A 17,601-nucleotide genomic window follows, 5' to 3' on the forward strand; every position below is an offset into this window, starting at 1 on the left:
GCCTCAGCCTCCCAAAGTGCTGGGATTACAAGCATGAGCCACCGCGCCCGGCCGCGTTATACTATTTTCTATGCCCTTGACAAATTTCTGGTAATTTATATAATTAATAAGTATATTAAAGTATGTCCATACAATGTCACATTATACAGCAAGTACAAATAAAGAAAAAGAGTGAGACTGCTTTTTATATAATGTGGAAAAATCTCAAAAATACACCACAAAGTAAAACAAAGCAAGTTGCATATAGTGTGTGTAAGTATGTACTCTTTACATTTGTGTAATAAAAATGATGGGGAACGAATACATGTATGTATTAGTGTGTGCATATATATATGATTAAACACCTTATACACTCAGTTTTAAAAAATGAAAAACAGGCAGGGCATGGTGGCTTGGGCCTGTAATCCCAGCACTTTGGGAGGCAGAGGTGGGTGGATCACTTGAGGTCAGGAGTTTGAAACCAGCCTGGCCAATATGGTGAAGCCCTGTCTCTACTAAAGTAAATACAGAAACCAGCAGGGCATGGTGGCGTGTGCCTGTAATCTCAGCTATTCAGGTGGCTGAGGCATGAGAATAGCTTGAACCCAAGAGGCAGAGGTTGCAGTGAGCTGAGATAGCGCCATTGCACTCCAGCCTGGGTGACAGAGTGAGACTCTGTCTCAAACAAACAAACAAAAACATTAATACCTTGAGATAAAGGAAAAATAGCAGTGTTTTCCCAACAGATACTAGTTCTGAAAATAACAAGACTTTGAACATTTCCTGAAAATCTGGACTTCCTAAAGAAAAGAACTTTTATCTGCTGGGTGCAGTGGTTCACGCCTGTAATCCCAGCACTTTGGGAGGCCGAGGCAGGCAGATCACCTGAGGTCAGGAGTTCAAGACCAGCCTGGCCAAATGTGGTGAAACCCCATCTCCACCAAAAATACAAAAATTAGCCGGGTGTGGTGGCGGGTGCCTGTAATCCCAGTTACTTGGGAGGCTGAGGCAGGAGAATCACTTGAACCCAGGAAGCGCAGGTTGCAGTGAGCCAAGATCGGGCCATTGCACTCCAGCCTGGGCAACAGGAAGGAAACTCCATCTCAAAAAAACAAAAAAAGAAAAGTACTTTTATCCCTGATGTTTATTATGCTGATGTCTGAAGATATTTTATAACCTTTGTATATCTGAAAATCAAGTGAAGAAACCTGCAGTTTTGCCATCATGAATAGACTAATGTAAATGGGGTAACGTTGGTAATTTTGTGTTGTTTTCTTCTAAAAACATTTGACCCTTGAACAACACAATTTGAATTGCATGGGTCCACTTATATATATGCGGATTTTTTTTTTTTTTTTTTTGAGACAGAATCTTGCTCTGTCACCCAGGCTGGAGTGCAGTGGTACAGTCTCGGCTCACTGCAGCCTCCGCCTCCGTGTCCCGGGTTCAAGCGATTCTCTTGCCTCAGCTTCCCAAGGAGCTGGGATTCAGGCGCACACCACTATACTGGCGAATTTTTGTGTTTTTAGGACCAGGCTGGTCTCAAACTCCTGGTCTCAAGTGATCTGCCCGCCTTGGCCTCCCAAAGTGCTGGGATTACAGCCACCGTACCTGGCTCATATGTGAATCTCTTTTTTTTTTTTTTTTTTTAGACAGTCTCACTCTGTTGCCCAGGCTGGAGTGCAGTGGCATGATCTCAGCTCACTGCAACCTCCACCTCCCAGGTTCAAGTGGTTCTCCTACCTCAGCCTCCCGAGTAGCTGAGATTACAGATGTGTGCCACTACACCCAGCCAATTCTTGTATTTTTAGTAGAGATGGGGTTTCACCATATTGTCCAGGCTGGTCTCGAACTCCTAACCTTGTGATCCACCCGCCTTGGCCTCCCAAAGTGCTAGCATTACAGGTGTGAGCCACCATGTCTGGCCATGTGGATCTTTTTTAAACCAAATATGAATCAAAAATACAGTATTTGTGGGATGTAAAACCCACAAATATGGAGGGCCAATTTGTCCTATACATAGTTTCTACAGGGCTGACTGCAGGACTTGAGTATGCACGAATTTTGGTATTTGCAGGGGTCCTGGCAACAACCCCCATGTACACCAAGGGATCACTATACTTTTTTTTTTTTTTTGAGACACGGTCTCGCTCTGACACTCAGGCTGGAGTGCAGTGACACAATCCTGACTCACTTCAACCTCCACCTCCAGGTTCAAGTGATTCTTGTGCTTCAGCCTCCCAAGCAGCTGGAATTACAGGTGTGTGCCAACGTGCCCAGCTAAGTTTTGTATTTTTAGTAGAGACAGAGTTTCATCATGTTGGCCAGGCTAATCTCGAACTCCTGACCTCAGTGATCCACCTGTCTCGGCCTCCCAAAGTGCTAGGATTACAGGCATCAGCTACTCCGCCCAGCCGAGATGACTACACTGATTTTTTATTTGGTGAGCCAGTCCTTCTGAAGTCTGACTCCCTTTCACAATTTCCAAGGAAACCTTTTCTTTACTTTTCTAAATGCTTCTGTCTCTGGGTCTTCCTTTGACTTACATATTTGCTTTTATATACATAAGAAAGTATCTAGAAGGAAACACAAGAAACTGTAACAAAGGTGACGACTGTCACAGAATCCTTGGTCTGTTGCTTTTCCAGCAGAAAACCTCTGTGGCTGGTCACACCTTTGCCCAAATTTTGCTTGGGCCTGCTAGGCTCATTTCACCCACTTGGCCTGGCAGGCTATGCTAGGCTTGCACTACTGGCCTGGATCCCACGCCTGCCAAGGGTGAGCTAGGCATGGATCATTGAGGGGTGTGTGAGTAAGCGATCATGGGGTCTGGCCATTGTGCACAGCCAGGCATGCTGGCTGCAGCAGAGCCGGCAGCTCCAGGCGTCAGCACAGGTGCCAGCTCCCTGCGAGGCTGTGGCTGAACCAGGCATATTGCAAACGGCTTCCATGGCCGGCACCAGGGAATGTGGTGGTGCTCAGAAGCTTGGAGACACCAGAAACTGAAGAGCCCCAGGTGTCAGACCTGGCTCAGGGAGCTCCTAGGTCTGGGCTTCCCGAAGCACCATAACTCTTCTCTCTTCTCCCCTTTTTGTCACCCACAATGTGATGAGCAAGGGACATGTTTCAGCCCTGTTTGTGTTACAGCTCTTTCAGCCCCACCATTCCGCAGGTCCTGAGTTCTTGTTTCGCATCCAGGAAGAATGAGGTACACAGACAAGCGGAGGGTGAGCAAAGCAAAGAGGTGCTTTACTGAGCAACAGAACAACTCAGAGGAGACTCACTGAGTAGTGGTAGCTCCTCTCTGCAGGCAGGTTGTCCTGACAAGTGCCCAGCTCTCAGAAGAGAGGAGACCCACAGTGGGTAGCTCCTCTCCACAGGCAGGGCGTCCTGATGAGTGTTCAGCTCTCAGCAGACAGGATACCCACAGTGGGTAGCTCCTCTCTACAGGCAGGGCATCCCAATGACTGTTCAGCTCTCAGCAGAGAGGAGACCCACAGTGGGTAGCTTCTCTCCACCGGCAGGTCATCCCATCCTTTGCCTGAGTCTGGCTGAGTCATGGGTTTTTATAGGCTCCAGAGGGGAGGAAGTAGATGCTGACTGATCCATGGGAGGCCATGGGTGGGGCCAGAAAAGTACCATAAGTTCTCACTCCAGTCCATGGAACTAGCAGCCTGGCCCCCAGACCTAAGGCGGTCCCTGGCCTGAAGGTGGGGTTTCATTGGGCACCTGCCCCTTTTTGCCCAGGAGCCTGTCTGCCTCCTGCTGCCATCCACAGTGCCCTGGCTGTTCATGCTGAGGGGTGCCTGCAAGCCCATGCCAAGCTGCCCTCAGTGGCCCCTCGGACTTTCTCCCATGCTCGTGGGTGCCCAAAGTCTGGAGGGGGATCAAGGTGGCAGGGGGTTGGTGTGTCAGCACTTCCCTGAGCACATGCGCACCTGGCCAGGTTGTGACAGCACCAGGCTTGGCCACAGCTTTGCTCCAAAATTGGAGCAGGCACCAGGAGTAGGCAGAGGCCAGGCAGCAGGAGCAGGCACTTCCAAGCCTGTGGGGGCAGGAGGGCTTCCCAGCTTCCAAGAGTGCAGAGATGCCTGGGTATGCAGCTGTGGTTGGGCAGCTGCAGCTGCACATGGGAGGGCACTTGTTCCCAGCTCCCACCAGCTCCATGGAGCGTGTAGGCCCAGTCAGGACTCCCCCACTGCAGCCAGCATCATGGCAGGAGCTGCTCCAGACTGGCCACTGCTGCCATCACTACTAGGGTAATGAGATGGGGAGGAATTAGAAGGAAGAGACATGACTAGAGGGACACTTTCACTGCATACATCTTCATTTTTAATTTTGACAGTAACTGATAATTACCTATTCATAAATCAGTAAATTTAAAATAAAATAAAGAGTACATGTGATATAAATTATTTTGTTTTCTGGACTTAAGAAGCCAGAAGATATTTGAATCAGAATTAGATATGTGTTTTATTTTGGCATGTAAGTATTTCGACAGGTGACAAATGTATATAAATTACAGTAATTCACAAAATGTTTTATCATCTGTCAGTACACTAAGTTTATCACAAAAACCTGTATATCAGGCTCTCACCTCAGGATGGTTGAGTTCTCCTTCTTCTTCTTCATAGGGACCACCAACAATGAATGCATCAGGAATGTTATTAGCTCCTGGAGCCAGAATGTTGGCAATTGGCCACTTTTTGGGCCGGGGAACAGGTTCCCTTTCCCCTCCAAGCTTCAGAGTTCCATTCTTAAATAAAATGGGATAGTCCTTCTACAGAAATAGATACCATATGTCAGGAAAATTTGTAAAGGACTTTGAAATGGACAAGAAGATTATTCAAGTGTCTTTTCAATGGAATGCTGAGTGTTATCAAACATACCCCTCTACGATTAATCTGATTCTAGAGAGGGGCCTGTGCCCTTCATTCCCTTTGTGCTATTTTACAACTCTGTAACTTATAGACATTTGATAATAATGCAAATTATTCTTGTTCATAAATATGCAGATACAGTTTGTCCAGTGGCAATGTAACTGATTATTTCCCTGAAGCTAATGACAAATTTTGAATTATTGGCAAATTCATTTCAGCATTCCTGATGCCTATATACTCCTTTGAACTCATTGTCACATTTTACTGATTCCCTCATTAATTAGTTAAATAAAATCTTGGACCAAATTCTGTGTTATTTATATTTATATGAGAGTTGTGCTTATACCTGTTTAAAAATTATCCTTTAGAAAACGAACTAAAATCTGGCAAGGGGCTAAAAATATAGGCATTTTCATGTCTTATAACTTATCCAAAGTATACTTGCAGTAGAAAATTGGTAAAATATATAAGTAGGCAATTTATAGAAGGGGAAATTAGAACATCCAACATTTAAACAAAAACATGCTATGTTTCATTAATAATCAGTAAAGTGCACATTAAAACAATGAGATATCAGCCAGGCAAGGTGGCTTAATGCCTATAATCCCACTTTGGGAGATAGAGCCAGGAGGATCACTTGAAGCCAGGAGCTTGAAACCAGCCTGGGCAACATAGTGAGACCCCCATCTCTACAAAAAAAAAAAATTAAAAATTAGCTAGATGCAATGGCATGCACCTGTAATCCCAGCTACGTGGGAGGCTGAGGTGAGAGGATTGCTTGAGTCCAGAAGTTCAAGGTTACTGTAATCTATGATTGTGCCACTGCACTCCAGCCTAGGTGATGGAGTGAGACCCTGTCTCTTATTAATAGATAGATAGATAGAGAGATATATAGATAGATAAAGAACAGGAACAAGAAGTTTACTGGAAAAGATAAATAAATGGCCCTTAAATTAAAAGGAAGTTCTATTTCCAACACTATAGCAAACTAAAGTACAACAGAGCCTTCATCAGCAACAAACACAACAAACTAGATAAAGTAGAATAGCAACAACAAAAAAAGAGTTATATTTTATCACATAGCCAAGGTCAAAAGAAGTAAATGAAAGTCTAGTCCAGTCACGGTGGCTCACACCTGTAATCCCAGCACTGTGGGAGGCCGAGGCGGGCGGATCACAAGGTCAGGAGTTCGAGACCATCCTGGCCAATATGGTGAAACCCCATCTCTACTAAAAATACAAAAATTAAGCCGGGCGCAGTGGCTCACGCCTGTAATCCCAGCACTTTGGGAGGCCGAGGTGGGCGGATCACAAGGTCAGGAGATCGAGACCATCCTGGCTAATACGGTGAAACCCCATCTCTACTAAAAATACAAAAAATTAGCCGGGCCTGGTGGCGGGTGCCTGTAGTCCCAGCTACTCGGGAGGCTGAGGCAGGAGAATCACTTGAACCCAGAAGGCAGAGGGTGCAGTGTGCCGAGATCGCACCACTGCACTCCAGCCTGGGTGACAGAGCGAGATTCCGTCTCAAAAAAAAAAAAAAAAAGAGAAAGAAAAAGAAAGTCTAAAAGTGCCAGAACTGGCAGCAGCAGCAACTCAGTACCCAAGGGATAAGCTCATGAGCTGATGCTGCGCCAACCCAGGAAATGTCAGACCCAGACACTATTATAGAGAAGCAATCATGGCCCCATGCTCAGGCAGGACGGGAAGCTGGAACTAAGACTACTGCATAAAACTAGGACCTGGGGCTGGGTGTGGTGGCTCACACCTGTAATCCCAGCACTTTGGGAGGCTGAGACATGCGGATCACCTGAGGTCAGGAGTTCAAGACCAGCCTGGCCAACATGGTGAAACCCCCTCTCTACTAAAATACAAAAAATTAGCTGGGCGTGGTAGTGGGCACCTGTAGTTCCAGCTACTCAGGAGGCTGAGTCAGGAGAATTGCTTGAACCCGGGAGGCACAGGGTGGAGTGAGCTGAGATCATGCCACTGCACTCTAGCCTGGGCGACAGAGTGAGACTCCATCTCCATCTCCAAAAGCAAAGCAAAAAAGAATTCTAGGACCTGGTAGGGCAACCTTTCATAAAACATCAGAATAAAGGAGCCCTTTTCAAGTTTAAAATGATGTAAGAAACCTAAAAGAAAAAGATTTAACTATTAAAAAACTTTTGTGTACCAAAGCAATGACCCAAATTAAAAATAAATAATAAACCAGAAATAAATATGATAAACTATAAATTGACAAACTTGAAAGAAAATATTATTTTTCTCTACATATGAAGAATTTTTTTTTTTTTTGAGATGGCGTTTCACTCGTTGCCCAGGCTGGAGTACAATCTTGGCGCAATCTTGGCTCACTGCAACCTCTGCCTCCCAGGTTTAAGTGGTTCTCCTGCCTCAGCCTCCCCAGTAGCTGGGATTACAGGCACCCACCACCATACCCAGCTAATTTTTTGTATTTTTAGTAGAGACAGGGTTTCACCATGTTGGCCAGGCTGGTCTCGAACTCCTAACCTCAGTTGATCTACCTGCCTCAGCCTCCCAAAGTGCTGGGATTACAGGCGTGAGCCACTGCACCCCAGCCAGAATTTAATACATCAGCAAGAAAAATACTAAGCCCTCCAGGAGAAAAAAAATAAAAGACACTTTTAATTATCAAAATTAGCAAAAACAAAGAGAAAATTTTCAATACAATCTCAAAGTTGGAGAGAGGGCAATGCACAGATCTGCCTCATATAACTATGTGGGCTGTTCCCCGGAAGGGTGATCAGCCATCTCATTTGCCTAGGACTGTCCCAGTTGTGGTGCTGAAAGTCCCATGTCCCAGGAACCTCCTAAGTCCTCAGCAAACTGAACAGTTGCTACACAACTTTAGTGGGTCATCCACATACATGGCCCTGGAAATAAGATAAGTGGAAGTGTTAACTGAATAGAAGAAGCCTTTTAGCAAGCAAGTTAGAAATCTCCATCAAGAGCCTAAGAAACTCCATATCCAATCATTCCTATACCTAGAAATTTGGCCTAAGAAAATAATCTGGAATTAAGAGAAAGTTTTGTTTAATAAAGCACGTTGCACAAAATCTGCAAAATGTACACATAAAAATAATCTGTATAGAAATACACCAAAATTGGCCATTTTAAATCTTACATATTTTCCACCATATATTTATATAAATTATATTTAATGCATAATATATAATATGTAAATTATAAACATTAAGATCTGTATATAAAATAGAAATAAACTGTATTTTTCAAGCCTAAAATAAATCTCAGCTATTAGCAGTGCAATGCTTTGAATGAAATCTTAGAGGTGAGGAAGAGATGGCCATATGAGTACAGACATGTTTGAATCTCTATAAATATCTGGCAGTAGGGCTTTACCTCTCCAAGTGATGGAACTTGCAGACCGACCATGTAGTTCTGCCCAGGACCTGTTGGAATGAAGGATTCAGGCACAGAGTAAGCAGCCTCCAACGTGACCTTCAGTAGATTGCCCCCTGAGATCTGGGCTGTGGTCAGTAAAGGCTCTGCCACTAATACTTTAACTTCAAGACTGCACTGCTGTAAAAGAATAAAATTATGCAGCATTTTGAAAATTGCCAGAGATCTTCCTTTTTTGCATTATCTCATTTGAATCTCATATTACTGTTCAAGATAAGAAGGTAAAGCTTAATTATTTCCATAAGTTGAAACCATGTTCTCTAAGTCCCATGAGTTGGAGATAGAGCCAAGAAGAGAATCTTAACCCTAAACTAGATCCCTTCCCACTCTATCATACTGAGGTAAAGTATATATATAAATACATATAAAACAGGAATTGTAAGATTCTGTTGAAATGTTGGCCAGGCATGATGGCTCACTCCTGTAATCCCAGCACTTTGGGAGCCAAGGCAGGTGGATCACCTGATATCAGGGGTTCAAGACCAGCCTGGCCAACACAGTGAAAACCCATCTCTACTAAAAATACCAAAATTAGCCAGGCATGGTGGTGCGCGCCTGTAGTCCCAGCTGCTGGGGAGGCTGAGGCAGGAGAATCGCTTGAACCCAGGGAGGCAGTGAGCTGAGATTGTGCCATTGCACTCTAGCCTGGTCAACAAGAGCAAAACTCCATCTCAAAAAAAACAAAAGAAATGTCGATAGAAGTTGCACATGAGTAAGTGAGATTGGGTGCTTTTTTTGCTAGTCTATATTTTATGATTATTTTTGTCATTTTTTTAATTTTATTTTTTTTTTTGAGACAGAGTCTCCCTCTGTCACCCAGGCTGGTGTGTAGTGGCATGATCTCGGCTCACTGCAACCCCGCCTCCTGGGTTCAAGCGATTCTTCTGCCTCAGCCTCCTGAGTAGCTGGGAGTACAGGCGCATGCCACCATGCCCAGCTAATTTTTGTAGTTTTAGTAGAGACGGGGTTTCAACATATTGGCCAGGCTGGTCTCAAACTCCTGACCTCGTGATCCAGCCGCCTTGGCCTCCCAAAGTGCTGGGATTACAGGCGTGAGCCACTGCACCCAGCCTATTTTTGTAATTTAAATGTAATGCTTTGTAATAAGAAAATATTTTTTTCAAATAGATATGTATATATTCCACATACATAGGTATAGACATATATGTGTATACCTCTGACATTTTCACTCAGGATACATACAAAGTAGGTTTTAAATGTGTATTGAGGCTGGGCAAGGTAGGATCTCGCCTGTAATCCCAGCACTTTGGGAGGCCGGGGCAGGCATATTACCTGAGGTCAGGAGTTTGAGATCAGCCTGGCCAACATGGTGAAACCCCATCTCTACTAAAAGAGAAAATGTATAAAAATTAGCCGGGCATGGTGGTGGTGCCTGTAATCTCAGGTACTTGATAGGCTGAGGCAGGAGAATCGCTTGAACTCATGAAGTGGAGGTTGCAGTGAGCCGAGATCACACAATTGCAAACCAGGCTGGGCAACAAGGGCAAAACTCCATCTCAAAAAAAAAAAGAATGTGTATTGAATGCTAGGCACTTTGCTATATCACTAGGGATATAAAGACAAAGAAGACATAGTTCCTTTCAACATAGAACTCATGTCATAGTGTCAAGATTTATGCAAAATCTATACTAGAGACCTGTACAAAATGCTGCAGTCAAGGACACCAAGGAGGCAGTGAATAACTAATTATTTGGCTGGGGGTTGACATTTATAGGATAAATAGGCATTTACAACCTGGATTAGCAGAGGAAGGAAAGAAAAAATAATTCTGGATAAGAACAGTTTTTGTGGGCTGGTCCAAAGGCAGTGAGTTATCTCAACTGACTGTTCACAGTCAGTTACAGATCAAATTCTTTGTTCTATTCTTTCCCCACTTCTCACTACTGTGCTTAACTAGTCTTAGAGGGGAAAAACAGTCTATGTAAAGAGGGATTGGAACAGTATGGTATCTTCCATTTAGGTATATGTAAGTAAGTCAGGATTCTGGAACTTGAAGTATTAATATAAGGAAAGGAGTAATGGGAGATGAGGTTGAAGGGGGAGGCCTCCATTATAAAGGATGCTATATGCCTGCTAAGCAATCTGGACCTTAACTTGTAAGCAGTGGGTGAATCCATGAACTACAGAGTACTAAGTAGGGGAAGAGATAAGATCAGATTCACTTTTAAATCACTGTGCAAGCCATGGGAAGGTTGAACTAGAGGGAGGTAAAGGTAGGTACGAGGCTATTTGTAACTATCCAAGTGAGAGGTAATAAGGCAATAAAGAGTAGGAATGAAGCCAAAAAGAAAACCTAAAGACACTTAGAAGATAGAAAAGGTGGGATTTGGTGAAAGGCAGATTTGAGGACTGGTTGTAGTTAGGGTCTGAAGGAATATATATATGTCATGGATATAATTTAGGTTCTATGTTCCATGATTTCATGGATGGGTGATGCCACTAGTCAAAAAACTAAGATAAAAGGAAGAATAGGTTTCAGGGAAGATACTGAGTTCAGTTTTGGAATGTTGAGTTTTAGGTGCCTATGGGATAACATTATAGAGGTATACAGTAGGTGCTTATAAAGTCTGATATTCTAGAACTCCAGAAAGGGGTCTGGGCTAGAACTGCTGGATTAGAAATTTTCAGTGAGAGGCATGCTACCATGCCCTAAAGTATATGAGGTGCTTTCATATACTACTTGAGCCATCAGGACATAGCTCAAGAGTTATTTCCATGGTTAAGCCTTCCTTGCCTCTACCTGCGGACAAAGTAACTGATACCTGCTCTATGCCCATGTGCCTCACTCCACCATTTAATCACACTGGGTTATAGTCTATGATATGTAGACTGTGGGCTTTTCAAAGTAGGACTCTGCCTTATTATCTTTGTTTCCCAGAATCTAACACTAAGTGTGCTGTGAAAAGAAAATGCCCAATGCATTACACTCAACTGAATTGAACCTTAATAGCAGACAGAATTGTTACATTGAATGGCAGGCTGAAATGTTGAGAGCTAAAACTCTGATTACCTTAGCACTTGATCTAGGAGTTTCTAAGGGTGAGCCTTGCACAGGGTGCAATGGAACTGTTGTTTGAAATGAACTCTGTCCTGCAAAAAGAAGCCCAAGTTGAGCCAAAGAAGAAAGGGTTAAGTTGGGATGACTGCAGGCAGAGATAAATGTGCCTACTTTTCCCCTCAAATCCCTCAAATTCATTGAGGCTAATTTCTATATCTCTCTGGGGCTAAGTTTTATGAGCTTTTCCATTTCTGCTTTTGGGCAAAGCACACATCTGACCTTCCAGTAAGGGAAGAAGGTCCACCACAGCCTGACCAAGAATTAAGGTCTTCTCTTCTTTCTGTTTCTTTTCCTTTGGTAAAACTTCAGTCACAGTTACTAGAAAAATCAAAACAAAGAAAATGAGACATTTAAAACACATCTATCCGATAACCAAGCTGCAACAAACAAAGCATTGTCAAAGATATGTAAGTTAAAAAAAAATAAACTTGAAAGTACAGAAGGCACCAACATCACTGACTTCTGGTGGAAAATACTGGACCACTTCAGTGACTTTTGAACTTTTTGCCTGCAAGTTATAATAAGAAATGGGTTTTAGATCATCATCATGTACATGCATGTGTATAAAAGTAACTGAGGCTGGGCGTGGTGGCTCACACCTGTAATCCCAGTACTTTGGGAGGCCAAGGCGGGCAGATCACCTGAGGTTGGGAGTTCGAGACCACCCTGACAAACACGGAGAAAACCTGCCTCTACTAAAAATACAAAATTAGCCAGGCATAGTGGCCCATGCCTGTAATCCCAGCTACTCGGGAGACCGAGGCAGGAGAATCGCTTGAACCTGGGAGGCAGAGGTTGCAGTGAGCTGAGATCAAGCCATTGCACCCAGCCTGGGCAACAAGAGGGAAACTCCGTCTCAAAAAAAAAAAAAAAAGTAACTGATACATATGATTATATAACAAAGCTTCATATAATATTAATCTTTACTAGGTCAAAATCCTTAGGTATTTTCTATTCTATTTCATACAGAAGAACTTACTGGTCATAATGCCCATCAATTGATCTTAAGAATGGCTAAAAAGTCACAATCTGAAGTTTGAAAAACACTGCTCTAGGGTGGGCGAGGTGGCTTATGCCTGTAATCCCAGCACTTTGGGAAGCTGAGGCGGGCAGATCACGAGGTCAGGAGATCGAGACCATCCTGGCTAACACAATGAAACCCCATCTCTACTAAAAATACAACAACAAAATTAGCCAGGCGTGGTGGCGGGCACCTGTAGTCCCAACTACTCAAGAGGCTGAGGCAGGAGAATGGCGTGAACCCAGGAGGTGGAGCTTGCAGTGAGCCGAGACTGTGCCACTGCATTACAGCCTGGGCGACAGAGCGAGACTCCGTCTCAAAAAAAAAAAAAAGAAAAAGAAAAAAGCAAAGAAAAGCACTGCTCTAGATCCCCCTATATTGCCTACCATAAGGCTTGACACATTTTGGAGTAATCCTGTAGCATGCAGAGTATGTACAAGGTTTTTCACTGCAGCATTACTCTGTGTGCTTAACACTTATTATAACAATTTCAAAATTTCAAATACACAAAGTAGAATAGTATAACAACTATCCATATAACCATAATCTAAATTTAACAATTTTTTTGCTTCATCATGTGTAGCTTTGTTTGCTCAAATACTTTTATCATATTTGCTTTGTTTGCTGAAGTACTTTTCAAATAAATTACAGACATCATGACATTTTACTCCTAAATACCAAAGTATACAAATCCCAAGTAAGACATTTTCCTAGAAAACCACAATCAGTTTACCACATCTAGCAAGTGTGTGATAATAGCATTAAATAATTCCTTAATTCACCTAGTGTCCAGTTTATATTTAACATTTCCCAATTATCCCCAAATTTATTTTGTAGCTGGTCTGTTCAAAGACCACATATTGCATTTGGTTGTCATGTTTCTTTTCATTTAGAACAGTCCCCCCTTTCCACATACTTCTCTCAAACACTTCTCTCTTTTGTTGAAGACACCAGGCCAATAGTTACATAGAATGTCACACCTTCTAGATTTGTCTCTTGTTTTATTCCTCATAGTATTTAATTTGTTTCTCAATTCCTGTGTTCCTACTTGGGTTCAGCTTCAGCATTTTCAGCAAGGATAACAGGGTTTGATATGTTATCAAACTCTGTGACCTTTGTAACCTGACAGATGAAAATAGCATCTAAACATAATTTTATTTTTTGTATTAGAATGAGGTTGAAATTTTTTCCATATACTTAAGGACCAGTTACAGTTTCTTTTCCATGAACTTTTCATATTCCTTTCATATGTTTTGTATACTTTTCCATTAGATTCTTGCTCTTATTAATATGCAAGTGCTCTTTAAAGGTAAATTTGCCTTCTGTCTAGAAATGAATTGCAAATTGTATTCCAGTTTGTGGCTTGTCTTTTACAGTTGCTAATGAATATATATATATTTTTTTTCTGTGGTTTCTACAGTTGTGAAATACTTATAAAGGCTTCCTCTCTCTGATTATTTTAATTCCATGATTTCTTATGGTACTTACATGATTTAATTTTTTACACACATTTTATCCAGGTGGTATTTATTTTGGTTTGTTTGTTTGTTTTTCAAGACCAGGTCTCACTCTGTCACCTGGGCTGGAAGGCAGTGGTGCGCTCTCAGCTCACTGCAACCCCTGCCTCGAGGGCTCAAGTGATTCTCCCACCTCAGCCTCTGGAGTAGCTAGGGCTACAAGTGCTCACCACCATACCCAGCTAATTTGTGTGTATATATGTGTGTGTGTGTGTATGTGTGTGTATATGTATGTGTGTGTGTATATATATGTGTGTATATGTGTGTATGTGTGTGTATATATATGTGTATATGTGTGTATATATGTGTGTGTGTGTGTGTGTGTGTGTGTATATATATATATATATATATATATATATATATATATATATGTATGTTTTGTTTTTTTTTTTTGTGAGACGGAGTCTTGCTTTGTCACCCAGGCTGGAGTGCAGTGGCGCAGTCTCAGCTCACTGCAAGCTCCGCCTCCTGGGTTCTCGCCATTCTCCTGCCTCAGCCTCCTGAGTAGCTGGGACTACAGGTGCCCGCCACCACACCCAGCTAATTTTTTGTATTTTTACTTGAGACGGGGTTTCACCGTGTTAGCCAGGATGGTCTCGATCTCCTGACCTCGTGATCTGCCCGCCTTGGCCTCCCAAAGTGCTGGGATTACAGGCGTGAGCCACTGCACCCAGTCATTGTTTTTTTGTTTGTTTTTGTTTTTGTTTTTTGAGAGAAAGTCTCACTGTGTCACTCAGGCTGGAGTGCAGTGGTATGATCTCGGCTCACTGTAACCTCCACCTCTCAGGTTAAGTGATTCTCCTGCCTCAGTCTCCTGAGTAACTGGGACTACAGGCAGGCTCCACCACGCCTGGCTAATATTTGTATTTTTAGTAGAGACGGGGTTTTGCCATCTTGACCAGGCTGGTCTTGAACTCCTGACCTTGTGATCCACGCATCTCAGCCTCCCAAAGTTCTGGGATTACAGGCTTGAGCCACTGTGCCCAGCCCATTATGTTTTTTAATTCAATTTGAGATCTTCCAGTTTTTGGAATGACTTATGGTTTTAAGTTGAAACCTGGACTTTTCCTATTGTTATGAATCTCTGGATCTTACTTACACCTTCTGTTTTCAGCTGGCTTTTTCCAACACCACCCCAAAAGGGGAAGGAAGGAGATGCTGCCTCATTACTGACAAGTTGGGGTGGAAGTCTAGGTTCCCTACTCAGCCTCCTCTGACACCTGATGGAGGCAGCTCCTCATTACTGCTGAGCAGGGGAATTGGAGTCCTGATTCCTTACTTGGTTTCCACTGATACCACAGTGGGTGTGGACTCATTACCCTTGGGTGATGGTGAAAGTTCTGACTCTAAACTAGGCCTCCTCTGACACCACTCCAGTGGGAAGTGAAGGGACACCTTGCTGCTGACAGTTTGGGATAGAAGTCCAAGATCCATGTGGTCTCCACTAACATTATGAGGGGTGGGAAGGGGACTCATTACTAGAGGGGATAAAAGCCCTGGTTCCCTACTTGGTCTTCTCTGACATCACTAGGGTAATGGAGAACCTCATTTTTGAGCTTTGTGAGAGTGGAAGTCTAGGCTCTCCACTCAGCTTGATTGAGGGTGGGGGTTTTTTTCCTACGGTGTTTGGCTGGAGTACGGGAATTACTGTCTAAAACTTTTCTGTCTTATTAGGCTGCCGCTTTCATAGTCTTTTGGCTAAACAGAGCAGACTTTTATCAGGCTTTCTTTCTTTTTTCTTTTTTTTGGTCTGTGCCCATTGGTGTCTCCAGGTTGCCACCTTCTTCAGCAAGAAGTATGGGATATATAAGGCAAAAAGAAAACCCAAAGAACTCACCACTGTGTCATTCCCCAGGTCCCAAGTTTCCTTCTCTCCACCTTTCAGAGTCTCTTATGTTTGTTTTATATATAATGTCCAGGGTTTGTAGTTGTACTCAGTGGGAGGAATAGAGAAAAGTACATCTATTCCATCTTCTCAAAAGTTCTGCTTTTAATCCTTTTTATTTCTAATTAATGCGCTTAAGATTATAAATGTACCTCTAAGTACACCTTTAACTATATCCCACAAATTCTGATATTTGGTGTTTTACTGTTGATCTCTTCCAAATGCTTTGCAATTTTTATTATGACTTTTTTATTTGTCCCATGAATGATTCATAAGTATGTTTTTAAATTTCCAAATAGCTTTTTGGCTTTTTGTTATTGATTTCTAATTTTGTTGATTGTTACATTTTGGCAGAAAAGGTGGTCTGTATGCTGTTGATCCTTTGATCTATGGTAGGACTTGCTTTATCGCTTAGAATGTGGCCAATTGCTATCATAAAAATGCTCCTCCTGTGTTTTAAAAATATATATATTCTTTAATGGTTAGTACAAGCCTATGATTATTCCTAGGGAAGACTTTTTTCTCTACCCAGGATCTAGACAGAGATGCTGATAAGCAGATTTTATTTTCCTGGTCCATACTTTCTGAGAGTCTTAACTTGTGATGGGGAGGTGATCTCAGTCTCTATTCCCCCATCAACAACAGCCAAAGGTTTTCTGTCCTTGTGAGAGCATTAAAACCCAAGCCCCTAGGTTTTGGAGTACTGCCTTCTCCCTGCACACTTCCACTAACACATACACACCAATGGCAGCTGTTCAAGATTTTCACGTTTCAGTTCCTGCCTTGCTTCTGGGAACAAAGGAACTGTCCTTTCTTTCTCATGATTTTAGTTACATGTTTAAAAGAATGTTTTGGTTGTGCTTTTCCCATCCAACATGATAGGGAAGAAGGCAATCGGGACATTGATTTTTAGAACCACAAGGACTTACAGAACACAGGTTTGTGAGCGAGGTCATCTGAAGTGATTCCTCCTTCAGGATTAAACTCAAAACTGCTAGTGAAGTTGTATTTTGCACTTCCTTCTGGAGAAACAGTAATTTTTGCAGAGTCTCCCAGAACCACTTGATTGAATTCTGCTCGAATAAAGGTAACTGGAGTATCTCCTTTAAAACCTTTCTGTTGGCAGAAACACACCACTTTACAATTATATTCAAATAGAGAATTTTCCCACACATCTGGTAACCCATTTTGATTTGGGCTAAATAGCATTTTTCATTTTTTCCTAACGAGCAACATCACAAATACAAAAGGAATAGGTAGAAAAATCATTAAACAAATCTAGTTTTACTTAAATGCAACATTCCATTGAAGTGCTGTTATGTTGGAGTCTTGAAAATAACATTTATTGTGTTTCACCTAATAATAAAAGTATACTGTGGAACATTTTTTTTTCTGTTTGTTTGTTTGTTTTGAGACGGAGTCTCGCTCTGTCACCCAGGCTGGAGTGCAGTGGCGCGATCTCAGCTCACTGCAAGCTACTGAGGAACATTTTTAAAAGTAAGAAAATTAATTACCTACAATCTTACTGTAACATGCAAGCATTATTAATATTTTAGAATATATTTTCTAGTGTTCTGCTGTGAATATATGGATGTACGTGTGTGTACCCATACATGCACACATAGATACATTTTTATATATGCATTTTAAAACAAAGTGGAGCTCATTAATTACATCCTCTTTGGAATGATCTTTTTAAACTTAATATACTGAATATTTTCCCATTTCATCATATTCCTAATTTTTAGTACATCACATTGTTGTTGTTTTTTTAATTAATCAAATAGAATTAATCAC

At 42.3% G+C, this 17,601-nt stretch overlaps 1 protein-coding gene across 22 annotated transcripts in view, besides 1 other annotated feature; it reads right to left on the reverse strand.

Annotated features, from left to right (window-relative positions):
• The window catches only part of CFAP70 (cilia and flagella associated protein 70), a 109,218-nt gene that overhangs the window by 83,061 nt on the left and 8,556 nt on the right, over window positions 1–17,601 (reverse strand). For 16 of the 22 annotated variants that reach the window (XM_047424551.1, XM_017015624.2, XM_017015622.2 and 13 more), the window contains 5 exons: window positions 16,734–16,920; window positions 11,601–11,699; window positions 11,334–11,413; window positions 8,243–8,422; window positions 4,577–4,759 (listed from right to left, as the gene is read on the reverse strand). In XM_047424551.1, coding sequence (XP_047280507.1) covers window positions 4,577–4,759; window positions 8,243–8,422; window positions 11,334–11,413; window positions 11,601–11,699; window positions 16,734–16,920 — 729 coding nt within the window. Of the gene's footprint in view, window positions 1–4,576; window positions 4,760–8,242; window positions 8,423–11,333; window positions 11,414–11,600; window positions 11,700–16,733; window positions 16,921–17,601 lie in introns of those variants that run through there. The other 6 variants (XM_017015627.2, XM_006717610.3, NM_001350933.2 and 3 more) reach the window with 4 other exon arrangements.
• Window positions 2,689–2,983: a silencer, noted in NCBI's record as "tiled region #9775; K562 Repressive non-DNase unmatched - State 16:ElonW". NCBI's record gives its function as "represses a minimal TATA promoter and a strong SV40 promoter by Sharpr-MPRA in K562 cells {active_cell/tissue: K562}" and the evidence as "EXISTENCE:reporter gene assay evidence [ECO:0000049][PMID:27701403]".

Source organism: Homo sapiens, chromosome 10 (genome assembly GCF_000001405.40).
Source record: "Homo sapiens chromosome 10, GRCh38.p14 Primary Assembly".
Lineage (NCBI taxonomy): Eukaryota > Metazoa > Chordata > Mammalia > Primates > Hominidae > Homo > Homo sapiens.